Source organism: Homo sapiens, chromosome 15 (assembly GCF_000001405.40).
Source record: "Homo sapiens chromosome 15, GRCh38.p14 Primary Assembly".
In the NCBI taxonomy this organism is placed as follows: domain Eukaryota; kingdom Metazoa; phylum Chordata; class Mammalia; order Primates; family Hominidae; genus Homo; species Homo sapiens.
The window spans coordinates 44,361,228-44,389,142 of record NC_000015.10 but is presented as its reverse complement, the minus strand read 5'-3'; the positions used below and the strand labels follow the sequence as shown (position 1 = coordinate 44,389,142).

The 27,915-nt window shown below is 40.5% G+C and overlaps 1 protein-coding gene across 3 annotated transcripts in view; it reads right to left on the bottom strand.

Moving 5' to 3' along the window:
- Window positions 1–27,915, bottom strand: part of GOLM2 (golgi membrane protein 2) — a 127,040-nt gene that overhangs the window by 26,616 nt on the left and 72,509 nt on the right. For all 3 annotated transcript variants that reach the window (NR_157849.2, NM_138423.4, NM_177974.3), the window contains 2 exons: window positions 9,355–9,453; window positions 8,167–8,337 (listed from right to left, as the gene is read on the bottom strand). Coding sequence is in view for 2 of the 3 variants with exons in the window: in NM_138423.4 (NP_612432.2) it covers window positions 8,167–8,337; window positions 9,355–9,453 (270 nt within the window). In the remaining variant the exon portion in view is untranslated. The remainder of the gene's footprint in view (window positions 1–8,166; window positions 8,338–9,354; window positions 9,454–27,915) is intronic.

The window sequence follows — 27,915 nt, the reverse complement described above, 5'->3', positions numbered from 1 at the left end:
AAACTGTACTTAAAAATGAATTTTCAAGCTGGACGTGGTGGCTCACGCCTGTAATCTCAGCATTTTGGGAGGCCGAGGCAGGCAGATCACGAGGTCAGGAGATCAAGACTATCCTGGCTAACATAGTGAAACCCCGTCTCTACTAAAAAAATACAAAAAATTAGCCGGGCGTGGTGGCAGGCGTCTGTAGTCCCAGCTACTTGGGAGGCTGAGGCAGGAGAATGGCGTGAACCCGGGAGGCGGAGCTTGCAGTGAGCCAAGATCACGCCACTGCACTCCAGCACGGGCGACAGACCGAGACTCCGTCTAAAAAAAAAAAAATGAATTTTCATTGGGCTCAGTGATGCATGCCTATAAATCCCAGCTACTCAAGAGGCTAAGGCAGGAGGATGATTTGAGCCCAGGAGTTTGAATCCAGCCCGGCAGCACAGCAAGACCCTGTCTCTCTCCCTCTCTCTTTTTTTCTTTTGAGACAAGGTCTTGCTTTGTTGCCCAGGCTGGAGTGCAGTGGCACGATCATGGCTTACTGCAGCCTCTAACTCCTGGGCTTAAAGAATCCTGCTAACTCAGCCACCCAAGGAGGTGGGGCTACAGGAGCACGCCTCCATGCCCAGCTAATTTTTGTATCTTTTGTAGAGACGGGGTTTCACCATGTTGCCTAGGCTGGTCTTGAACTCCTGGGCTCAAGTGATCCATCTGCCTCGGCCTCCCAGTGTTAGGATTACAGGCATGGGCCACTGTGCCAGGCCACCTGTCTCTTAAATAACTAAAATAAAATAAATTTTTCTTATAACTAAATAGTTTTTACTCTATGGAAAGCAAAGCTGAATAAACACAAGAATACTAACGATTTTTTTTTTTTTTTTTTTGAGACAGGGTCTTGCTCTGTTGCCCAGGCTGGAGTACAGTGGCGCAATCTTGGCTTACTGCAACCTCCGCCTCCCAGGTTCAAGATTATTGTGCCTCAGCCTCCCGAGTAGCTGGAATTACAGGCATGCACCAACAAGCCCAGCTAATTTTTGTATTTTTAGTAGAGATGGGGTTTTACCATATTGGCCAGGTGGGAGAATCACTTGAACCCAGGAGGCAGAGGTTCTAGTCAGCTGAGATTGCGCCACTGCACTCCAGCCTGGCCAACAGAGCAAGACTCCGTCTCAAAAACAAAAAAAAGAACAGTATATTTATGTCCAGATAGAATAAAAGAAATGATTTTTATAAAAGAAATGATCTTCTATAAGAGAAATGAAAATCATCATAAGAGTCTAGATCAATATGCTTGAATATATACAAATAAAGACCTTTTGTGTCAAGTTGTATAAAGCTGCATGATACAAGATCAACACACACAAAAATCAGTCTTATTTCTTTTTTTTTTTTTCCTTGAGAGAGTGTCTCATTCTGTCACCCAGGCTGGAGTACAGTATCGCGATCTTGGCTCACTGCAACCTCCACCTCCTGGTGCAAGCGATTTTCATGTCTCAGCCTCCCAAGTAGCTGGGATTACAGGCATTTGCCACTGCACCCGGCTAATTTTTGTATTTTAGTAGAGATGGGGTTTCACCATGTTGGCCAGGCTGGTGTCGAACTCCTGACCTCAGATGATCCACCCACCTCGGTCTCCGAAAATGCTGGGATTACAGGCATGAGCCATCAGGCCAGGCCAAAAATCAGTCATATTTATATGCACTAGCAAGAAGTCTAAAAGGAAAATTAAGAAAACAGTTCGATTTACAATGACATCAAAACAATAAAATGCTTAGGAATAAATTTAACCAAGGCAGCACAAGACTTGTGCACTAAAAGCTACAAAACATTGCTGAAAGGAATTAAAGATGACCTAAATAAATGGAAAGACATCCCATATTTATGGATTGAAAGACCTCATATTGTTAAGATGGCAGTGCTCTCCAAAGTGATCTACAGATTCAGTGCAATTCCTTTTTTTTTTTTTTTTTTTTTCCAGACAAGGTCTTGCTCTGCTGCCCAATCTGGAATGCAATGGCACAATCTCAGAATCTCAGCTCCCTGCAGCCTCTGCCTCCTGGGCTCAAGTGATCCTCCCACCTCAGCTTCCCAAGTAACGGGGACTACAGGTGCATGCCACCATATGTGGGTAGTTTTTGTATTTTTTGTAGAGACAGGGTTTTGCCATGTTGCCCAGGCTGGTATCAAACTCCTGGGCTCCAGTGATCTGCCTGCCTCGGCCTCCCAAAGTGCTGGGATTACAGGCATGAGCCACCGCACTCGGCCAATTTTTTAATTTTATTTTTTCAGAGACAGGGCTCACTTTGTCACCCAAGCTGGAGTGCAGTGGAACAATCATAGCTCACCATAACCTTGAACTCCTGGGCTCAAGCAATCCTCCCACCTCAGCATCCACAGTAGCAGAGGCTACAGGCTTGTGCCACCATGCCTGGCTAATTTTTAAATTTTTTTTAGAGATAGGGTCTTGCTACGTTGCCCAGGCTGGTCTTGAACTCCTGGCCTCATGTGATCCTCCTGCCTTGGCCCCACAAAATGCTGGAATTATAGGTGTGAGCTACTGTGCCTAGCCACAATTCCTTTTAAAATATCGCTGCCTTTTTAGTAGAAATGGAAAAGCAGATCCTACAATAAAATTACAAGGGATCATGAAGAGCTAAAATAATCTTAAAGATGAACAAAGTTGAAGGACTCATAATTCACAATTTCAAAACTTACTACAAAGTTATAGCAATGAAAACAGTATGATACTGGCATAAGGAGAGACATATAGATAAATGTAACAGAACTTATAATTCAGAAATAAACCCATATATCTGTGGTCAATAGATTTTTGACAAGGATACCAAGATTGTTCAATGGGAAATGAAGAGTCTTTTCAATAAATGTTGCTGGGACAACTGGTATCCACACACAAAAGGATTATGTTAGACCTTACCTCAAACCATATACAAAAACTAACTTTAAATGGATGAAAGACCTAAATATAACAGCTAAACCTATGAAAGTCTTAGAAGAAAACACAGGGGGAAATCTTCATTACCATGATTTTGGCACTGGTTTCTTAGATATGATACTCAAAGTATGAACAAAAACAAAAAATAGATAAATTGGACCTCATCAAAATTAAAAACTTTCGTGCATGAAAGGACACTATCAAGAATGAAAAGACAACCCATAGACTGTGCAAAAATATTTGCAAATCATACACCTGATTAGGGTCTAGTAACCAGAATACCTTTTCAAAAACCTCTTAAAACTCAACAACCAAGACAAATAACCCAACATAAAAATGGGCAAAGGGCCAGGCCCAGTGGCTCATACCTATAATCCCAGTGCTTTTGGGAGGCCAAGATGGGAGGATTGTTTGAGGCCAGGAGTTGGAGACCAGCCAGGGCAAGACAGCAAGACCCCATCTCCACAAAAGCTAAAAAATAAATACATACACTAGCCAGACATGGTAGGGTATGCCTGTAGCCATAGCTACTACTGAGGCTGAGGCAGGAGGATTACTTGAGCCTAGGAGTTTGAGGCTGCAGTGAGCTATGACTGTGCCACTGCACTCTGGCCTGGGTGACAAAGCTAGATTCTGTCTCTAAAAGTAAATTTTAAAAAAGGACAAAGGTCTTGAAAGAACAATTCTCCAAAGATGATATACAAATGGCCAGAAAGTACACAGAAAAGGTGCTCAATGTCATTAGTGAAATGCAAATAAAAACCACAAGGAAACATCACTTCATATGTACTACATGGTAGAAGGAATGAATGAAAGTGGCGGGGGGAAGGAAGGAAGGGAGGAAGGGAGGGAGGGAGGGAGGAAGGGAGGGAGGGAGGGGATGTGGAGAAATTGGAACTCTTATACGTTGCTGGTGGGAATGTAAAATGGTACAGCTATTGTGGAAAATGGTTTGGCAGTTCCTCAAAAAGCTAAACATAGAACTATCATATGACTCAGCAGTTTCACATCTAGGTACATACCCAAAGAATTAAAAACAGATGTTCAAAAAAACTTGTACATAAATGTTCATAGAAGCACTATTCGATAGCCAAAATATAGAAACAACCCATATATACATCAACAGATGAATAAACAAAATGTATCCATACAACTGAATATTATCCAGCCATAAAAAGAAATAAAATACTGATAGATGCTACATGCTACAGCATGGTCGAACTTCAGAAAAATTATGCTAAATAAAAGAAGCCAGACACAAAAGGTCACATACTGTATGATTTTTTTTTTTTTTTTTAAGATGCAGTCTCGCTCTGTTGCCAGGCTGGAGTGCAGTGGCGTGACCTCAGCTCACTGCAACCTCCAACTCCCTGGTTCAAGTGATTCTCCTGCCTCACCCTCCCAAGTAGCTTGGATTACAGGCATGCGCCACCACGCCCAGCTAATTTTTTTTTTTTTGAGATGGAGTCTCGCTCTGTCGCCCAGGCTGGAGTGCAGTGGCGCGATCTTGGCTCACTGCAAGCTCTGCCTCCTGGGTTCACACCATTCTCCTGCCTCAGCCTCCCAAGTAGCTGGGACTACAGGCGCCCGCCACCACGCCCGGCTAATTTTTTTGTATTTTTAGTAGAGACAGGGTTTCAGTATGTTAGCCAGGATGGTCTCAAACTCCTGACCTCGTGATCTGCCCGCCTCAGCCTCCCAAAGTGCTGGGATTACAGGCTTGAGTCACCGTGCCCGGCCTAATTTTTGTACTTTTAGTAGAGATGGGATTTCACCATGTTGGCCAGGATGGTCTCGATCTCCTGACCTTGTGATCCACCCACCTCAGCCTTCCAAAGTACTGAGATTACAGGCATGAGCCACCGCGCCTGGCCGTATGATTCCTTTTATATGAAATATCCAGAATTGGTGACTCCATAGACAGAGAGAAAAAAGCAAATTAGCGGTTGCCAGGTGCTGAGGGTAGGAGAGTACAGAGTTTTGTTTCAGGGTGATGAAAATATTCTGGAACTAGAGTGGTGATAGTTTGTACAACTTTGTGAATGCACTAAATGCCACTGAATTGTACATTTTGGTGAATTTTACGTGTAACTTACCAAAACAAAAAATTATTTTTAATTAAAAAAACTTTTGCATGATAAAGCATAAGAAAGTCTTATATCAGGAACGACAATATAAGAGGAAAACTGTGATAAATCTGAATTATCTATAAAGATTTGATACGGGGCTGGGCAATGGTGGCTCACGCTTGTAATCCCAGCATTTTGGGAGGCTGAGATGGGAGGATCACATGAGCACAGGAGTTCAATACCAGTCTGGACAACAGAACGAGACCTCATTTTTGTTTAAAAATTTTAAAAATTAGCCAGGTGTGATGGCACATGCCTGTGGTCTCAGCTACTGAGGAAGGTGAGAAGGGAGGATCATTTGAACCCAGGAAGTCAAGGCTGCAGTGAGCCACAACTGCACCACTGCACTCCAAGCCTGGGTGATAGAGTGAGACGTTGTCTCAAAAAAAAAAAAAAAAAAGAAAAAAAGAAAAAGAAAAGAGTTGATACAAATAAATAGAACAAATCTACAAAGTTTTCAGGCTAAGTGGTCAAAACTGATGCACAGATTATATACCAAGAAATAATTATAATAAAATTACTCACATAAATATAGGCCACCAGAATAAATGATTATTAAAACATTTTTAAGGAAACGTTATATTCTAAATACCTTATAAAAACGATAAAAATCAATGTGGCCAGGCCACAGAGAAACCCCTAAACTTAAATAACTCCAGTGACACTTTAAAACTGTTCTAGAGAACAATCTGACACTATTTAACAAGTGCTATAAAGCTAGTCAAGTGCTTTGACCCAGTAATTTCGTTCTGAGGACTATACTTTTAAAGGAACACGCAAAGTAGGAAGAACAGGAAATAACTGGAGAAAAAAAATGATAGTAACAATCATGACAGCTACAATGAGAAAATACGAAATGATCTAAACAATGAGAGGAGACCTAAGTAAACTGTTATTATTGCCTAAGCACAATAGAATATATGTATATGTATACATATATTCTGTATATGTATATAATATATACAGAATATATGTGTATATATTAATAAAAATTTAAATTAAGTAAAAAGGAATGTAAGAAATAATGTCAAAGTAAATCACAAAATTGTGCATGCATTGATTTCAACTCTCCATATACATTAATGATAAATGGAAAATAATATGGAGTGAGGGTTTAAAACTCAATAGGCTCTTTTCTTTTTTTTTTTTTTTTTTGACAGAGTCTCGCTCTGTTGCCCAGGCTGGAGTGCAGTGGCACAATCTTGGCTCACTGCAAACTTCGCCTCCCGGGTTCAAGTGATTCTCCTGCCTCAGCCTCTCAAGTAGCTGGGACTACAGTTGTGTACCACCATGCCTAGGCTCTTTTCAAAATTATTGTAGAGAGTAATAATTTCCGAGCAATTATTTCCAACCACCTTCTTTACCCAAATATCAGTTAAAAAAATATATACAGGTAAGGCAACAATTAAAAAAATGTATAGAATAAATATAAGTTTAGAAGAAAATCTTGGCCGGGAGCAGTAGTTCATGACTGTAATCCCAGCACTTTGGGAGGCCGAGGCGGGCGGATCACCTGAGGTCAGAAGATCGAGACTAGCCTGGCCAACACGGTGAAACCCTATCTCTACTAAAAATACAAAAATTAGCCAGGCATGGTGATGTGGACCTGTAATCCCAGCTGCTCAGGAAGATGAGGCAGAAGAATCGCTTGAACCTGGGAGGCGGAGGTTGCAGTGAGCTGAGATTGCACCACTGCACTCCTGCCTGCCACTGCACTCCTGGCCTGGGTGACAGAGTGAGACTCCATCTCAAAAAAAATTTAAAAAAAAAAGAAGAAAATCTTAAGTGATCAAATTAAGATATTTTATTTGTTATGCTCTTACTGTACACCTCTTCTTGTTGAGATGTAAGTTTTCAGGCCAATCCCCCAACCCAATTTTGAGGAAATATTTTTTCATTATATTTAAAATGTTAGCTAAATCTTTGTAATAAAAATGTTTTTCACACAATACTTTGGTCAAGATACACAGATATGCTTTAAAATATCAAGGAATTTCCTATTTGAAGAAAACAGAAAAAAAGAAAAAAGAAAGGAAAGCCAATTAAATTAATGCAAACTATACATTCACATATATGAATAAATTTGAATAACTGTTACAAGATCAACAAAAATACCTTGAATAGGCTGGGCACAGTGAATCACGCCTGTAATCCCAGCACTTTGTGAGGCTAAGGCGGGAGGATCACTTCAGCCCAGGAGTTCAAGACCAGCCTGGGCAACAAAGCGAGACCCCCGTCTCTAAAAATAAATAAATAAAAATAAAGAAATAAAATAAAATACCTTGAATAAATTCACAAATATAACATTGTTCAATTATTAGCTTACACGCAATCTTTGTACAAATAACTGCCTAACCAGTGCTCTGCACAGTTGCTGCCATAGACAGAAGCCATCATAAAAACCAAAGACTTGATCTTACTCCTGGTGACTGATAAAAATTAAAAATAAATAAATAAACCAAAGACAAACTGAAGCTTTTAGAGATTCTGTCTATTCAGAATTGAAGGTAAGAAGATGCCATGAAAAGCAGAACCAGTGAAAAGCACAGTTTAAGGAAGCTGATCTAAGGGACACTCTCCTGCCTCAAATTCTACTACTAGAATTTTTTCTTATACTTCTAACATCTAAATGAGGAAAATGCAATTGCAGGGAATGGAGGAGGAAGCAGTATTGAGCAATCTACTAAGGCAATCCCCCAGAGTGTATGTTTCTCCCAGAATGTTCCATTTTTCAAAACTATTTATTTTCTCTCCTCCCTAATCAAAGTTTTCATTTGTAAGCCTATCAAAATATATTTTTCTCATTTCTCCAAAAAAGTTTATATTCATAAGAACTAATTGTATTTTTAAAAAAAGTCAACTCACCTGAAATTTATTATTTAACAATGGAGAACATGAGAACCTTTTTAAAGTTTTCTTTAAAATCGTATCTATCCATTTAAAACCTGTATTTCCTTTAAATTTTGACACTTTCATACCTTCTCTTTAAATATATATAACTTCACTATACATTTATTAGAGAGCAGAATAATGAAGACCTTAATTCATATTACATTTAAAGAAATATTTTTAGCATAATATTCATCAATTGATTCTTACTTTGCTTCAATTTATGGAAATCACTGACTCTGTCCTTGGTAGCCTGCTTTAGTATATCTGTTTGAATTCTGGGTTCACTGTCCAAGTTTGAGCCTGGAATTAAACGCTGAAGAGGACTGGAAGGATTCTGTTTTGAAGTACCGGGGTTTCCATTGTGGTTTATGTGTGAATCTGTGGCATAAAAACATCAAATTAAAAGAATATAATTTAATTTAATCTTTTAAAGATGAATTTCACAAGATCTGCTTTAGAAAGCTAAGACACACTATTGTTTAACATTGGGTAGCCACAAAGCTTTTTTTTTTTTTTTTAAAGGTTTATTCTCATTTCTTTAATCAAGTATTATAACCAATGTGATTTTAGCTGTGGGAAGTTTACTGATCATTCCCAGGTGAGTATCTCCACTAATGGCCATAAACTTATTCACCAAAAAGATATACAGTAGAAATCCATAGATTAATATAGCAATGATACTCATATCTTTTCCTCCCTCCAAATTCCATATCACTATCAGAAATCTCCAAAATCCAGTAAGGCTTTTGAAATTTCTACTCTCTAAGTCATCTTCACTATACAGTGACTCACAAGTGTTGACTCTTGATTCTTTCTTAGCATTATCTACTGGATACCACCTCTCTTTCCCCACCTCCCTTTTTATCCTCATCAATGACTTTAATTTTGGATCCCAAAACATCCTATTCCACTCTGACCTTTTTCCTTTCCATCATCTCCCTTAAGCAGGTCTCTTCAATCATATCTACTCTCATTTCAGGGAAATGTTCTATAAAATGGAATGAGTGTTTAGAAAATAAACAAATACATTCATAAGTACGAAGATTTTAATATAGGTGGGCACTGTAATTTATAGAAGGCCTCTATGAGATAAATTTGAACACATTTTGAAGAAGCTAAACCTGTATAGCAGGCAGAGAGGAAAGGGAATGTAGCTCAGAGTGGCATAATAAATAATTCTTCTGTTCTTAAGAAAAAGACTAACAATCCACCAGATAAAGTGGAGTTTCAGATTATTATTTCTCTCTGCTTTTACTAGTCTAAAAAAAAATAACATTACCTCAAAGAATAAATGCTATTTCACTATACTGCTAAGTGATATATTTTATACACTATATAACTGTACATGACTAGTAAGTTGGTTTCAAATGGAATTATAAGCATAAGCCTTCATACCTGGAGGCATATTTGGGGAGAGAGGTTGTCCAGTTGGAAGATGGGAGATTGCTTGATGACTTTCATGTTGAGAAACTGAAATAGGAGGCTTCCTTAAAGCTAGAAGAAAAAAAATAAATCCATATTATTCCCATTGATACTATGATTTCTAAAAAAAAAAAAAAAAAAAACCACCGTGAATCAATTTACATTGCACTAATTCTATGATGTTTATTCTAATTTTGTAATCCTTATAGTTGGTATGCTAATTTATTTACAGTTACTAATTGATACACTGTACCATTCATCACAGAATTTTTTTTTTTGGTGGGGGGACAGAGTCTTGCCCTGTCTCCCAGGCTGGAGTGCAATGGCATGATCTCAACTCACTGCAACCTCTGCCTCCCGCGTTCCAGCGATTCTCCCTGCCTCAGCCTCCGTAATAGCTAGGATTATAGGCGCTCGCCACCACGCCCGGGTAAGTTTTTTATTTTCAGTAGAGATGGGGTTTCGCCATGTTGGCCAGGCTGGTCTCGAACCCTGGATCTCAGGTGATCTGCTTCCCTCAGCCTCCCAAAGTGCTGGGATTATAGGTGTGAGCCGCCGCGCCCGGCCCCATCACAGATTTTTTTGACCAATAAATCTGCCCAGAATATAAGCTCCATGACAGTACAAACTGTCTTCGTCACCACTATATCCCCAACATCTAGAACATGCCTAGCATGTAAGAGAAGTTCAACAAAGATTTGATGAATTAATAAAATGGACTGGGCGCAGTGGCTCACGCCTGTAATCCCAGCACTTTGGGAAGTTGAGGTGGGCAGATCACAAGGTCAGGAGTTCAAGATCAGCTTGGCCAACAAGGTGAAACCCCATCTCTACTAAAAATACAAAAAATTAGCCGGGCGTGGTGGTGCGTGTCTATAATCCCAGCTACTTAGGAGGCTGAGATAGGAGAATCACTTGAATCTGGGAGGCGGAAGTTGCAGTGAGCTGAGATCGCGCCATTGCACTGCAACCTGGGTGACAGAGACTTCATCTCAAATAAATAAATAAATAAAATGAATCTCTTCAGATACAGTGATCTTCAACAGTGAGACCTTTTTATATGCATAGCACAAATAAAAATTGACACAAGTTAGGTAAGGTATTAAGAATATGTTATTTTTAGTTGCTCAAATTTTCTTTTCTTTTCTTTTATTTACTTATTTTGAGACAGAGTCTTGCTCTGTCGCCCAGCTTGGCCAACAAGGTGAAACCCCATCTCTACTAAAAATACAAAAAATTAGCCGGGCATGGTGGTGCGTGTCTGTAATCCCAGCTACTTAGGAGGCTGAGACAGAAGAATCTCTTGAACCTGGGAGGTGGAGGTTGCAGTGAGCTGAGATCAGGCCACTGCACTGCGGCCTGGGCGATAAGAGTGAAAACTCTATCTCAAAAAAAAAAAAAAAAAAAGTCCTGGCGCGGTGGCTCACGCCTATAATTCCAGCACTTTGGGCAGCCGAGGCGGGCGGCTCACGAGGTCAGGAAATCGAAACCAACCTGGCTAACATCGTGAAACCCCGTCTCTATTAAAAATACAAAAAAATAAAAATTAGCCGGGCGTGGTGGCGGGCACCTGTAGTCCCAGCTACTTGGGAGGCTGAGGCAGGAGAATGGCGTGAACCCGGGACGCAGAGCTTGCAGTGAGCCGAGGTCACACCACTGCACTCCAGCCTGGGTGACAGAGCAAGACTCCGTCTCAAAAAAATAAATAAATAAATAAATAAATAAATAATTTAAAAAATATATATATATACTTCTTAATAACATGTTCCTATAGAAAACTTGGAAAAATAGAAAAGCACAAAGAAATTAAACTTTAACTGTAGTACTACAACTTAAAGATAACCACTGTTATCATCTGAAGAGTATCTCTCTGGTGGGTTTTTTTTTATTTCTGTACATTATACTGTATACCTTAAAATTAGGGTTATATCATATATACTATCTTATAATCTTTTTTATTTGTATTTTACACATATTTTCCACGTCATTCCATTTTTCTCTACATTATTACCAAATGATAGTGCTGAATCAAAACTCTCAATTTTATAGTTTTGGCTAGAGAGATCTGGGTAAAAAATTGCCACAAGGGGCCAGGAAAGGTGGCTCACGCCTGTAATTCCAGCACTTTGAAAGACCGAGGCATGTGAGTCACTTGTGGCCAGAAGTTTGAGACCAGCCTGGCCAAAACAGCAAAACCCCATCTCTACTAAAAAATACAAAAAATTCAGCCTGGCGTGGTGGCACACGCCTGTAACCCCAGCTACTTGGGGGCCTGAGGCACCAGAATTGCTAGAACCTGGGAGGTGGAGGTTGCAATGAGCCAAGGCCGCGGCACTGCACTCCAGCCTGGGTTGCAGAGTCACAAGGATTATTTTTATTTTTTATTTTCTGAGACAGGGTTTTGTTCTGTTGCCCAAGCTGGAAGGCAATGGCAAAATCATCACTCACTGCAACTTCAACTTCCTGGGCTCAAGTGATCCTCCCAGCTCAGCCTCCCAAGTAGCTGGGACCACAGGCTTGCACTACTACACTTGGCTAATATTTTATTTTTTGTAGAGACGAGGTCTTACTATGTGGTCCGGGCTGGTCTCAAACTCCTGGCCTCAAGCAATTGTCCCACCTTGGCCTCCCAAACTGCTGGGATTATAGACGTGAGCCATCATGCCCAGCTCCCAAAAACTTTAGAGCCCCATAAACTGTAACAACTTAACTAGTTGGTGGATAGACTTTTACTGACATAAGAAAAAGCAGTGTGTATCCTGTAAACACTTTGATTTCTATGCTTTTATTTTGCCTTTTGTTTACTTTCCTTTTTTTGTTTTCTTGAAAAATTCCTTTTAGAAAACCCCAGCCTTGGTTTTGTTGAACTAAGGAGAAAGGTATTTATTTATACCTAGGATAGAATAGTTAGAGGGCTTCCCAGAGGCCAGAAGTAATAGTTATAAGCCCCACACCTACTATATACCTAAAAAATTAAAAATTAAAAAAAGAGGTAATTATTATAGTTAGTCGTACTGAAACAAACGATGATCTAGAAAAATGCTAGCTGACTTGGAGACAATTAAGAGTGCTAACCTTACCCTCCAATTTTGTATAGGAGATACTTGTGTATACATATACAAGTATCTATTTTTTTCCTCCACAAAAATGAGATTATGTTATACTTGTTTTCTTGTAACCTGTTTTCTTTTTAATTTAAAAAATCACAGATACAGATTGAGCACAGTGTCTCATGTCTGTAATCCCAATATTTTAGGAGGCCAAGGCAGGAAGATCATTTGAGCCCAGGGGTACCTAGCAAGACTCTGTCTCTACTAAAAGTAAATACAATTAGCTGGGTGGGGTGGCACACATCTGTAATCCAGCTACTCAGGAGGCTGAGATGGGAGGATCACTTGAGCCCAGGAGGCTAGGGCTGCAGTGAGCCACCACTGCACTCCAGCCTGGGTGACAGAGGGAAACACTGTCTTAAAAACAAGAAACAACATAGGTATCTTTGTTTTTTGTTTTGTTTTGTTTTGTTTTTTGAGACGGAGTTTTGCTCTTGTTGCCCAGGCTGGAGTGCAATGGCGCGATCTCGGCTCACCACAACCTCCGCCTCCCCGGTTCAAGCGATTCTCCTGCCTCAGCCGTCCCAAGTAGCTGGGATTATAGGCATGCGCCAAGCCCAGCTAATTTTGTATTTTTAGTAGAGATGGGGTTTCTCCATGTGGGTCAGACTGGTCTCGAACTCCTGACCTCAGGTGATCCGCCCACCTCGGCCTCCCAAAGTGCTGGGATTACAGGCGTGAGCCACCACATCCGGCCCAACATATATATCTTTGTATGCCAATAAATATAGCTCAGCATCATCCTTTTTAGTGGCTACATATTACACTTTTATGGATATAACAAATTTAATGAACCCTCCCTATAAGATTTCCATGGTTTTTAATTTATCATTATAAACCATTTATGATAAGCATTCATTTTTTTAATTTTTTTGAGAAGTCTTGCTGTGTTACTCAGGCTGGAGTGCACCAGTGTGATCACAGCTGACTGGAGCCCCGACCTCCGGGGCTCAAGCAGTCCTCCCACCTCAACCTCCTGACTAGCTGGGACTACAGGCATGCAACACTACACCTGGCTAATTAAAAAATTTTTTTTTGTAGAGAGGAGGTCTCACTATGTTGTCCAGACTGGTCTTGGAACTCCCAGGCTCCAGCCATCTTCCTGTCCTGGCCTCCCAAAGTGCTGGGATTATAGGCATGAGCCACTGTGCCCAGCCTATAAATCTTCAGATAAGAAAGTACTAAGTCAAACAAATTAAGAATACTTCTCAAACAAATTAAGAAAAAACCTGTAACAAATGTGAGCTTAAAAACAATGAAAGTTTGGGGAAAATTAGATGCAGAGTAGACTGCAAACAATATCATGACAATGATTGATATCAAAGCAACTCTCGGTCAGGTGGGGTGGCTCATGCGTGTAATCTCAGCACTTTGGGAGGCTGAGGTGGGCGGATCACGAGGTCAGGAGTTTGAAACCAGCCTGGCCAACATGGCGAAACCCCGTCTCTACTAACAATACAAAAATTAGCCGGGTATAATGGTGTGTGCCTGTAATCCCAGCTATTCAGGAGGCTGAGGCAGGAGAATCGCTTGAACCCAGGAGGTGGAGGAGGTTGCAGTGAGCCGAGATAGCACCACTGCACTCTAGCCTGGGCAATGGAGGGAGACTCTGTCTCAAAAATAAATAAATAAATATAAATAAATAAAGCAGCTCTCTTTATATTTTAACCCGGTCCTCTTCATTGAAGACCAGAGAGCCAGGGGAAAAATATACAAGTCAACAGGGAATATCATGCTGCTATCAGAAAATACCATTAATAGCTAGGCTGCTGATATGGTTTAGCTCTGTATCCCCACCCAAATCTCATGCTGAATTGTAATCCCCAGTGTCGGAGGTGGGGCCTGGTGAGAGGTGACTGGATCATGGAGGTGGTTTCTAATGGTTTAGCACCATCCCCATAGTGCTGTCTCGTGATAGAGTTCTCACAGGATCTAGTTGTTTAAAAGTGTATGGCACCTTCCCCTTTGCTTTCTTCCTCCTTCTCCGGCCATGTGAAGATGTGCTTGCTTCCCCTTCGCCTTATGCCATGATTGCAAGTGTCCTGAGGCCTCCTCAGAAGCAGATGCCTGTACAGCCCGCAGAACCATGAGCTGATTAAACCTCTTTCTTTATAAATTACCCAGTCTCTGGTAATTTTTTTTTTCTTTTAAACATTTAAAACAAAAACAAAGATGGGGTCTCACTATATTGCCCAGGCTGGTCTTGAACTCTTGAGCTCAAGTGATCCTCCCACCTTGACCTTGGAAAGTGCTGGGATTACAGGCGTGAACCATCGTGCCTGGCCTCAGGTAATTCTTTATAGCAATGCAAGATCCGACCACTACAGCTGCTAAAACATATATCATTGATAAAGCCATTATTAAGGAAAAGTATCAAAGATAAAATAATAAAATGTATTTATCACAAAGAGAAAATACAGGCCACCAAAGCCATTAGAGCATATAGTTTTTATCCTATCACTGATTTTTGTATTATTTATAAAGCAGAGTTATCAGTGTAGAAATTTAATCATTTGACAATATTTATTTATATATTTATTTATTTATTTTTGAGACTGAGTCTTGCTCTGTTGCCCAGGCTAGAATGAAGTGACGTGATCTCAGCTCCCTGCAACCTCAGCCCCGTGGGTTCAAGCAATTCTTGTGCCTCAGCCTCCCAAGTAGCTGGGATTACAGGTGTGCACCACCATGCCCAGCTAATTTTTGCATTTTTAGTAGAAACAGGGTTTCACCATGTTGGCCAGGCTGGTCTCGAATTCCTGACCTCAAGTGATTCGCCCATCTTAGCCTCCCAAAGTGCTGGGATTATAGGTGTGAGCCATCGCACCCAGCCAATTGGATAATATTTAGTATCTACTATATGCCAAGATCTGTTTTTTTGTTTTGTTTTGTTTTTTCAAGATGGAGTCTTGCTGTGTCAGCCAGGTTGGAGTGCAGTGGCACGATCTCGGCTCACTGCAACCTCCACCTCCTGGGTTCAAGCAATTCTCTTGCCTTAACCTCCTGAGAAGCTGGAATTACAGGCGCCCGCCACCGCGCCCGGCTAATTTTTGTATTTTTAGTAGAGACAGGGTTTCACCATGTTGGCTAGGCTGGTCTCAAACTCCTGATCTCTTGATTCGCCTGCCTCGGCCTTCCAAAGTGCTGGGATTACAGGTGCGAGCCACTGTGCCCTGCCAAAACTGTTTTTTTTTTGAGACGGAGTCTCGCTCTGTCGCCCAGGCTGGAGTGCAGTGGCACGAACTCGGCTCACTGCAAGCTCCGCCTCCCGGGTTCACGCCATTCTCCTGCCTCAGCCTCCCGAGTAGCTGGGACTACAGGCGCCCGCCACTGCGCCCGGCTAATTTTTTGTATTTTTAGTAGAGACGGGGTTTCACCGTGTTAGCCAGGATGGTCTCCATCTCCTGACCTCGTGATTCGCCCGCCTCGGCCTCCCAAAGTGCTGGGATTACAGGCGTGAGCCACCGTGCCCGGCCGCCCAGAACTGTTTTAAACAGCTGGAGATTCAGCAGTGAACAAAATAGACCAAGTTATTGTCCTATGAAGCTTACATTCTTGTTGGGGAGATAAGAATAAATAAACAAAAGTTATAGAACATAATATAAATGTCAGAGTTCTGTGTATAAATTAAAACAGGGAGATGTGATAGAGAGTGGTGGGAGGCTCTATTTTAGATAGTTTGGTCAGGGGAGGCATTTTTGAGGAGGAATCATTTGAGCAGAGGTATGAATGAAACTTGGAGGAAGAACATTCAAACAAAGACGAGCAAGTACAAAGGCCTTGAGACAGGAGCATGCGCAGCATATTTGAGGAGAAGCTAAGGAGTGAGGAAAAAGTGTTAGAAATGAGGGAGACAGGAAAGAAGGGGCCATATTAGAGACACAATAGTAAAAACTTTAAGAATAGGTGGCTAGGTGGCAGAGGTAACTGGGGGCTGGGACTGTATCTGGTAGCTCCTAAGGAGGCAATAACCAGGCACTAGTCTCATGTCACCCTTACCTCTAAATTAGATAGATATCCCTTTTTCAAAGGTGAGGAAACAAAAAGCTCATGACAGTAGAGATAAGACATACCTCTCACTTGACTTAAAAATTCAGAGTAAACATTTCTAAAGAAACTGGTAAGATGCTTACAAAGATGACAGGTGGTTTAGGATTAATCGTCCTCTACTTCTCTTTTAGGCTTCAGTTGCAGCCCCTACTCTGAGAGGCAAAAAAAGAACTGATCCTGCCTTTTCCTCCCATTTTCTTACTCTAACAGCAGGGCTATAATCTCAAAACTGTCTAGACTTCCAATTTCCTGACTAACAGGACTTCATGATCCAGTGCCTATGGCTATAGAGAAGGAGTATGGCACTGATAAGCAGTGGTCCTCAACTCTGGCTGCATTCTAATATTACAGACACTACCACAGACGTACTGAACATGGGAATGGGGCATGGGTTTCTATATTTACTGAAAGCTCCAAAGGTGGTTCTACTGCACAGCCAAGAGAATAAAAGAATAAAATACATGAGCTTTGGAGTTAGACCAGATTTTCTCTTTTAGAGAGTCAAATCATGGCTCTGTAATTTATTAACTGCATGACTTTGGATTAGTTCCTAATTTTTCTAAGCCTCAACCCTCATCTATAAAATAAAGATGATGCCATTTACCCTGCATGATCAATGTGGGGACTAAGTGAGAATATTTTCCTCTGGATTATGAGACAAGCCTAGCAAATAGTTGGTGATTAATACATACTGGAGTATTTAGAGTTGTCAAAGTAATGTATTTATCCTTAGAATGAAAGAGAATCTAAGATTTAGATTGAGAAAATCTGATTAGTTTTACAATTTACATGTAAAACTAATCAATTTATTGACCGGCTGTGATCAATTTTCTGAGCCTCCTGATTATATAGTTGACTTGCACTTCAGAGTCCTGATGAATATTTACTTATAGTAATGTTTTGGAAAGTTACTGAAACTCAGATCAGCAATTGACCATAAAAACTCCTAGAAAGAGATGAAGTAATATTAATCATTCTGAAACATAAACATTAAATACAAAACAACGATATAACATTCTTTCTTTGCTTTGTGTATATGAACAGATACAACACACTTGAAATTTGCTCAAATACTGGTTAGTGGGACTATCTCAGCCCTCCATGAAATATAGGTAAATGTCTACATGTACTACTTAAAATTATGTTCTCATATGGCTCCTGAGACATGGTCTGTGAGTAATGAGTTTCCTTTAAACTTAGAGATGGATTTATTTAATTTAAAAAGGACAACATGAACTTCCACTGCTAGCAATGACATACTAACCAGTATTGGGTTTCCTCTACCCTAAACAATTATAAAGGCAGGAAAAATACATGAGGCAGCTGTTTGTAAGCACTGTACAACCATCAGCACAAGACCATGGTCCTTAAAAGAAGGGATATATATGAATAGGCAGTCTTTGTGAGCAGAGGAGACAGAGATCATCAGAGTTTGGCCTGCTGAGGTGGCTAGAATTTGCAGGAAAGGATATTACAGAGGAGGAACCTGTGGGGGATGAAACGGAGAGCAGAAATCTATATGGGGATTTCCTCTTAGGTCTTTGGCCAAGCCCCAGGTTGTGTATGCACAGGGTGAGACTTCATGGGGTCTAACAGACAGCTCCTCCTATAGGGCTGAGAGCTGAACAGAAATAACAGAGGTGGTTGGGTGTGGTAGCTCATCCCTGCAATCCCAGTGCTTTGGGAGGCCAAGGTGGGAGATCACTTGAGCTCAGGAATTTGAGACCAGCCTGTAAAACATAGTGAGACTTCGTGTCTACTAAAAATTAAAAAAATTAGGTGGGCATGCTGGCACACACTTGTAGTCCCAGATACTCAGAGGCAAAGGTGGGAGGAGAGCTTGAGCCCAAGAAGTAGATGCTTCAGTGAGCTACAATCACACCACTGCACACATACACAAAAAAGGCTAAAATTCTCCCCGTCTTCCCTATTAAAAATAAAAAATAAAGGAAATAACAGAGGTCATGGAGCACCAACCATCTTCGGTATTCAGATGAGTTGCTACAAGGCCATAGTTTAAGAGTAGGGACCACGCTCTTAGAGTTGGGGTTTGTTCTAGTGCCCAGGCTGAAGTGCTGTGGCATGATCATAGCTCACTGCAGTCTCAATCTCCTGAGCTCAAATGATCCTCCCACCTCACCCTTCTGAGTAGTTGGGACTATAGGAGCACATCACCACACTAGACTAATTACTTATGATTATTATCATTTTTAGGCCACACTCTAGAGTTAAAGGCCATGCTCTGAGACTAAAAACAAAATAAAAACTAACTTGCTCTAATGAAGCAAAAAACCAAAGCATAAACAAGCCTGACAGAATCAACAGGCTCTGTGATGGTTAGTATTGAGTGTCAACTTCACTGGACTGAAAGATACTTTAAGTATTGATCCTGGATATGTCTGTGAGGGTGTTGCCAAAGGAGATTAACATTTGAGTCAGTGGGCTGGGGAAGGCAGACCCACCCTTAATCTGATGGGCAAATTCTAATCAACTACCAGCGAATATAAAACAGGCAGAAAAACGAGAAAAGGTGAGACTGGCCTAGCTTAACAGCCTACATCTTTCTCTCGTGCTGGATGCTTCCTGCCCTCAAACATCAGACTCCAAATTCTTTAGTTTTGAGACTTGGACTGGCTCTCCTTGCTCCTCAAGCTCGCAGACAACCTAATGTGGGACCTTGTGATCGTATGAGTTAATACTTAATAAACTCCCCTTTATTCAGATCATATATTATTCAAATTTTAAAATTCTATCTTTTTTTATCCTTCTAGGACTCAAGTTACACACATTTTAAATTTTATTTATTTATTTAAGATGGAGTCTTGCTTTGTCATCCAGGCTTTATTAATACTTAATAAACTCCCCTTTATATATATATGTGTGTGTGTGTGTGTGTGTGTGTGTGTGTATGCATATATATATGTGTGTATATATATACATATACAGGCTGTATATGTATATATATACATACAGGCTGGTCTCAAACTCCTGATCTCTCGATCCGCCCGCCTTGGCCTTCCAAAGTGCTGGGATTACAGGCGTGAGCCACTGTGCCCTGCCAAGAACTGTTTTAAACAGCTGGAGATTCAGCAGTGAACAAAACAGACCAAGTTATTGTCCTACGAAGCTTACATTCTTGTTGGGGAGATAACAATAAATAAACAAAAGTTATAGAACATAATATAAATGTCAGAGTGCTGTGTATAAATTAAAACAGGGAGATGTGATAGAGAGTGGTGGGAGGCTCTATTTTAGATAGTTTGGTCAGGGGAGGCATTTTTGAGGAAGAATCATTTGGTGAAAAACATCAATCCACAAATCTAAGAATGTATATGTACATATATACATATATATACACACATACAAACACACACACACACACACACACACACACATATATATATATATACACACACATATCTAAAATGATATAGGGCTGAGAGCTGAACAGAAATAACAGAGGTGGCCGGGTGTGGTAGCCGGGTATATATATATATATATATATATATATATATATATATATATATATATATAATATATCCTATTATATGTATATATCTCCTATTAGTTCTGTACCTCTAGGGAACCCTAACGCAGGCTCCTCCAGTAATTTGTCTGCCAGAACAAAATTCAACACCCTTTAAAAGAAGACACACTTTAAAAGAAGGCAACAAAATCCAAACTCCTCAATGTAATACTCATAAAGTATACAATAAAATTACTAGACATACAAAAAAGCAGAGAATGACCCACAATCAAGAAAAAAAGGAATCAACAGAAACAAACGGAGAGGTGATCCACTTGTGAAAATTAGCAGACAAGAACTTATAAACAACTGTTTATATATATATGTATATGTATATGTATATATATGTGTGTATATGTGTATATATATGTGTGTGCGTATATATATGTTCAAGGATTTAAAGGAAAATGTGGGAACATCTGGTAAAGAATGGGGAGTAAAAAAGAACCAAATGGAAATTCTGGAATTGAAAGTACGACATCTAAAGTGAAATATATGCTGACTGGGCTTAACAGCAGACTAAACATTACAGAAAAAAAGGGGTCAATGAACTTGAAGGTAAATCAAAGACATTAAACAAACTGAAGGAGAAAAGGTATTACAAAAATCTAAACAAAACTTCAGTGATGTTTGGGATAATATCAAGCAGTCTGAAATGTATGTAACTCGGCCGAGCATGGTGGCTCACTTGAGGTTAGGAGTTCAAGACCAGCCTGACCAACATGGTGAAACCCCGTCTCTAATAAAAGTACAAAAAAAAAAAAAAAAAAAATAGCTGGGCGTGGTGGTGCATGCCTGTAATCCCAGCTACTTGGGAGTTTTAGGTGGGAGGATCGACTGAACCCGGGAGGTGAAGGTTGCAATGAGCCGATATCATGCCACTGCACTCCAGCCTGGGTGACAAAGCGAGACTCCATCTTAAATAAATAAATAAATAAATTTTAAAAATGTATGAAACTTGAGTCCTAGAAGGATTAAAAAAAGATAGCATTGTAAAATTTGCATATTTGATCTGAATAAATGCTGAAATTTCCCCAAATTTGGTGAAAAACATCAACCCACAAATCTAAGAACCTCAGAGAACCCTAAGCAGGATAAATACAAAATAAAACCCCATACTAAGGCATATCTTGGTCAAATTGATAACAATTAAAGATAAAGGGAAAATCTTAAAAGCATCTAGAGAAAAAACACACAATAAAAGAGAACAACAAAAGAAAGATGGCTGACTTAGAAACAATGAAGGCCAGAAGACAGTTGGAACTGCATCTTTTTTTTTTTTTTTTGAGACAGAGTCTCCGTCGCCAGGCTGGCATGCAGTGGCGTGGTCTCGGCTCACTGCAACCTCCACCTCCTGGGTTCAAGCAATTCTCCTGCCCAAGCCTCACGAGTAGCTGGGACTGCAGGCCCACGCCACCAGGCCCAACTAATTTTTGTATTTTTAGTAGAGATGGGGTTTCACCATGTTGGCCAGGATGGTCTTGGATCTCTTGACCTCATGATCCACCCACCTCAGCCTCCCAAAGTGCTGGGATTACAGGCATGAGCCACTGCGCCCCGCCGGAACTGCATCTTTTAACATGCTAAATGAATGCCCTCAACGTATCAGCCCAGATTTCTATATCTGGCAAAAATAACCTTCAAAAATGAGAATAAAATAAAGATACTTTCAGATAAAAGTTGAAAAATTCACTGCTAGAAGACCTGCACTTCAAGAAATGCTAAAGGAAGTTCTTCAGGCTGAAGGGAAATGATAATCAAAGTAGAAATTTTAATCTATAGGAAGGATTCAAATTTGTGTCCTTTAAAACAGGGATCTAAAAACTTTTTCTTAAAGGGCCAGACAGAAAAAAAAAAAAAAAAAGGGCCAGACAGTAAGTGTTTCAGGCTGTGGGCCTTACTCAATTCTGCTGTTCTAGCAGAAAAGCAACCATAGGCAATATATAAACAAATGAGTATGTCTATGTTTCAGTAAAATTTTATTTATTAAAACAAATGGCCACCTGGTAGTTTGCCAATGTCTGTTTTATAAGATATCTAAGAAAAATTTTTAATTATAATTTTAATATCAAGACTGGCAATTTGTTAGGATTTTTAAATTTTTATAGCTTAATTTTTTCCTCTGAGAGTGCTTTTAGAAAAATAATCTCTACCAAAAATATAAATTATTAACCACAATGCTTCCTTAAAACATAACGTTTTTGTTTTTTTCTTTGACAGGGTCTTGTTCTGTTGCCCAGAATGGAGTACGGGTAGCATGATTATAGTGAACTGTAACCTTGAATTCCTGGCCTCAAGCAATACTCCCACCTCGGCATCCCAAACTGTTCGGATTACAGGCGTGAGCCACTGCACCTGGCCTTAAGACATAATCTTCCTATCTTTTTTCCTCCTCTCACACATCACTGTAATTACTTCTCTTTAATTTTAATTTTTATTTTTGAGACAGGGTCGCGTTCTGTTGACCAAGTTGGAGTGCAATGGCGTCATCATGGTTCACTGCAGCCTCAATCCCCTGTGCTCAAGTGATCCTCCCACTTCAGCCTCCCAAGTAGCTGGGACTACAGGCGTATGCCACCATGCATGGCTAATTGTGGTATTTTTCTGTCTCATATTATGTTGTCCAGACTGGTCTCAAACTCCTGGACTCAAGCGATCCTCCTGCCTTAGCCTCCCAAACTGCTGGGATTACAGGTATGAGCCTGGCCTCTCTTTAATTGTTTTTTAAGACTTAGAGCAGTTTTGTGGTTTGTTTGTTTTGTTTTTTTTTTTTTTTTTTGAGACGGAGTCTCGCTCTGTTGCCCAGGCTGGAGTGCAGCGGCGTGATCTCTGCTCACTGCAAGCTCCGCCTCCTGGGTTCACGCCATTCTCCTGCCTCAGTCTCCCAAGTAGCTGGGACTACAGGCGCCCGCCACCACGCCCAGCTAATTTTTTGTATTTTTACTAGAGATGGGGTTTCACTGTGTTAGCCAGGGTGGTCGCGATCTCCTGACCTCGTGATCCACCCACCTCGGCCTCCCAAAGTGCTGGGATTACAGGCGTGAGCCACCGCGCTCGGCCAAGACTTAGAGCAGTTTTAAGTTCACAACAAAACTGACAGGAAGATAGAAAAATATCCCAAATATCTCCTGCTCCCATACATGGCCATGGATAGCCTCCCCGATTATTAACATCCCCTACCAAAGTGGTACATTTGTTAAAACTGATGAACTTACACTGGCACACTGTAATCACCCAAGGTCCCTAGTTTACATTAGGGTTCATTCTTGGTGTTGTACATTCTATGGGTTTGGACAAATGTATAATGACATGTCTCCCCATTATAGTATCAGAGCATTTCACTGCCCTAAAAATCCTCTGTGCTCTGCCTATTCATCCTCTCTCTCTCTACCCCATCCCCTTGCAACTACTAATTTTTTAATTGCATTTTAGTGTCTCCACAGTTTTTCCTATTCCGGAATATCTATAGTTGTAATTATACAGTATGTAGCCTTTTCAGATTGGCTTTTTTCATTTAGTAATATGCATTTAATTTTTTTCAAGTCTTTTTTGTTTTTGACACAGGTTCTTACTCCATTGTCCAGGCTGGAGTGCAGTCACAGCTCACTGCAGCCTCAACTTCCCAGGCTCAGGTGATTATCTCACCTCAGCGTCCTGGGTAGCTGAGATTACAGTCACACACCACCACACCCAGCTAATTTTTGTATTCTCTGTAGAGATGGGGTTTCACTGTGTTGCCAAGGCTGATCTTGAACTCCTGGGCTCAAGCGATCTGTCAACTTTGGCCTCCCAATGTGCTGGGACTGCAGGTGTGAATTACCACACCCAGCTTTCTCCAAGTCTTTTCATGTCTTAATATCTCATTTCCTTTCAGTGGTAAATAATATTCCATTGTCCAAAGGTACCACAGTTTATCCACTCACCTACTGAAGAATATCTTGGTTGTTTTCAAGTTTTGGCAATTACGAATAAAGCTTCTATAAACATTTATGTGCAGGCTACTGTGTGGATACAAGTTTTTAACTCTTTTTGATAGATACCAAGGAGTAAGATTTCAGGATCATACGGTCAAAGTAAGTTTAATTTTGTAAGAAACTGCCCAACTACCTTCCCAAGTAGTTGACAATTTTGCATTCTCACCAGCAACACATAAAAATTGCTTTTGTTCCACGTCCTTGCCAGCATTTGGTGTTTTCAGTGTGCTGGAACTTGGCCTATTAGAATGGTCCAAAATCTACTGTAGTAGATTTCCCTGATAACACATGATATGAAGCATCTTTTCATATGTTTGCCATTTTTATGCCTTCTTTGGTGAGGTGTCTGTTTAGGTTTTCAGTCCATTTTTTAATCAAGTTGTTTTCTTTTCTCTTCTTTTTTTTTTGAGACAGGATCTCACTCTTTTCCCCAGGCTGGAGTGCAGTGGTGTAATCATGGCTCACTGCAATCTCTGCTTTCTGGGCTCAAGCAATCCTACCACCTCAGCATTCCGAGTAGCTGGGAACACAGGCATGGTCCACCGCACTTGTCCAGTTTTTTTTTTGAGATGGAGTCTTGCGCTGTCACCCAGGCTAGAGTGCAGTGGCGCGATCTCGGCTCACTGCAAGCTCCGCCTCCCGGGTTCATGCCATTCTCCTGCCTCAGCCTCCCAAAGTGCTGGGATTACAGGCGTGAGCCACCGCGCCCGGCCACACCTGTCCAATTTTTTTGTATTTTGGGTAGAGATGGGGTTTTGTCATATTGCCCAGGCTGGTCTCAAACTCCTAGGCTCAAGCAATCCACCTGCCTCAGCCTCCCAAAGTGCTGAGATTACAGATGTGAGCCACCATACCGAGCTTGTTTTCTAAGTGTTAAGTGTGTGTTTTTATTTATTTATTTATTTTTATTATACTTTTAAGTTTTAGGGTACATGTGCACAATGTGCAGGTTAGTTACATACATATACATGTGACATGCTGGTGCGCGGCACCCACTAACTCGTCAACTAGCATTAGGTATATCTCCCAATGCTATCCCTCCCCGCTCCCCCCACCCCACAACAGTCCCCAGAGTGTGATGTTCCCCTTCCTGTGTCCATGTGTTCTCATTGTTCAATTCCCACCTATGAGTGAGAATATGCGGTGTTTGGTTTTTTGTTCTTGCGATAGTTTACTGAGAATGATTATTTCCAGTTTCATCCATGTCCCTACAAAGGACATGAACTCATCATTTTTTATGGCTGCATAGTATTCCATGGTGTATATGTGCCACATTTTCTTAATCCAGTCTATCATTGTTGGACATTTGGGTTGGTTCCAAGTCTTTGCTATTGTGAATAGTGCTGCAATAAACATACGTGTGCATGTGTCTTTATAGCAGCATGATTTATAGTCCTTTGGGTATATACCCAGTAATGGGATGGCTGGGTCAAATGGTATTTCTAGTTCTAGATCCCTGAGGAATCGCCACACTGCTTCCACAATGGTTGAACTAGTTTACAGTCCCACCAACAGTGTAAAAGTGTTCCTATTTCTCCACATCCTCTCCAGCACCTGTTGTTTCCTGACTTCTTAATGACTGCCATTCTAACTGGTGTGAGATGATATCTCATTGTGGTTTTGATTTGCATTTCTCTGATGGCCAGTGATGGTGAGCATTTTTCCATGTGTTTTTTGGCTGCATAAATGGCTTCTTTTGAGAAGTGTCTGTTCATGTCCTTCGCCCACTTTTTGATGGGGTTGTTTGTTTTTTTCTTGTAAATTTGTTTGAGTTCATTGTAGATTCTGGATATTAGCCCTTTGTCAGATGAGCAGGTTGCAAAAATTTTTTCCCATTTTGTGGGTTGCCTGTTCACTCTGATGGTAGTTTCTTTTGCTGTGCAGAAGCTCTTTAGTTTAACTAGATCCCATTTGTCAATTTTGGCTTTTGTTGCCATTGCTTTTGGTGTTTTAGACATGAAGTCCTTGCCCGTGCCTATGTCCTGAATGGTAATGCCTAGGTTTTCTTCTAGGGTTTTTATGGTTTTAGGTCTAACGTTTAAGTCTTTAATCCATCTTGAATTGATTTTTGTATAAGGTGTAAGGAAGGGATCCAGCTTCAGCTTTCTACATATGGCTAGCCAGTTTTCCCAGCATCATTTATTAAATAGGGAATCCTTTCCCCATTGCTTGTTTTTCTCAGGTTTGTCAAAGATCAGATAGCTGTAGATATGCGGCGTTATTTCTGAGGGCTCTGTTCTGTTCCATTGATCTCTATCTCTGTTTTGGTATCAGTACCATGCTGTTTTGGTTACTGTAGCCTTGCAGTATAGTTTGAAGTCAGGTAGCATGATGCCTCTAGCTTTGTTCTTTTGGCTTAGGATTGACTTGGCGATGCGGGCTCTTTTTTGGTTCCATATGAACTTTAAAGTAGTTTTTTCCAATTCTGTGAAGAAAGTCATTGGTAGTTTGATGGGGATGGCATTGAATCTATAAATTACCTTGGGCAGTATGGCCATTTTCATGATATCGATTCTTCCTACCCATGAGCATGGAATGTTCTTCCATTTCTTTGTATCCTCTTTTATTTCATTGAGCAGTGGTTTGTAGTTCTCCTTGAAGAGGTCCTTCACGTCCCTTGTAAGTTGGATTCCTAGGTATTTTATTCTCTTTGAAGCAATTGTGAATGGGAGTTCACTCATGATTTGGCTCTCTGTTTGTCTGTTATTGGTGTATAAGAATGCTTGTGATTTTTGTACATTGATTTTGTATCCTGAGACTGCTGAAGTTGCTTATCAGCTTAAGGAGATTTTGGGCTGAGACAATGGGGTTTTCTAGATATACAATCATGTTGTCTGCAAACAGGGACAATTTGACTTCCTCTTTTCCTAATTGAATACCCTTTATTTCCTTCTCCTGCCTAATTGCCCTGGCCAGAACTTCCAACACTATGTTGAATAGGAGTGGTGAGAGAGGGCATCCCTGTCTTGTGCCAGTTTTCAAAGGGAATGCTTCCAGTTTTTGCCCATTCAGTATGATATTGGCTGTGGGTTTGTCATAGATAGCTCTTATTATTTTGAGATATGTTCCATCAATACCTAATTTATTGAGAGCTTTTAGCATGAAGGGTTGTTGAATTTTGTCAAAGGCCTTTTCTGCATCTATCGAGATAATCACGTGGTTTTTGTCTTTGGCTCTGTTTATATGCTGGATTACATTTATTGATTTGCGTATATTGAACCAGCCTTGCATCCCAGGGATGAAGCCCACTTGATCATGGCGGATAAGCTTTTTGATGTGCTGCTGGATTCGGTTTGCCAGTATTTTGAGGATTTTTGCATCGATGTTCAGCAAGGATATTGGTCTAAAATTCTCTTTTTTGGTTGTGTCTCTGCCTGGCTTTGGTATCAGGATGATGCTGGCCTCATAAAATGAGTTAGGGAGGATTCCCTCTTTTTCTATTGATTGGAATAGTTTCAGAAGGAATGGTACCAGTTCCTCCTTGTACCTCTGGTAGAATTCGGCTGTGAATCCATCTGGTCCTGGACTCTTTTTCGTTGGTAAGCTATTGATTATTGCCACAATTTCAGCTCCTGTTATTGGTCTATTCAGAGATTCAACTTCTTCCTGGTTTAGTCTTGGGAGAGTGTATGTGTCGAGGAATTTATCCATTTCTTCTAGATTTTCTAGTTTATTTGCATAGAGGTGTTTGTAGTATTCTCTGATGATAGTTTGTATTTCTGTGGGATCGGTGGTGATATCCCCTTTATCATTTTTTATTGCATCTATTTGATTCTTCTCTCTTTTTTCTTTATTAGTCTTGCTAGCGGTCTAGCTTGTTGATCTTTTCAAAAAACCAGCTCGATTCATTAATTTTTTGAAGGGTTTTTTGTGT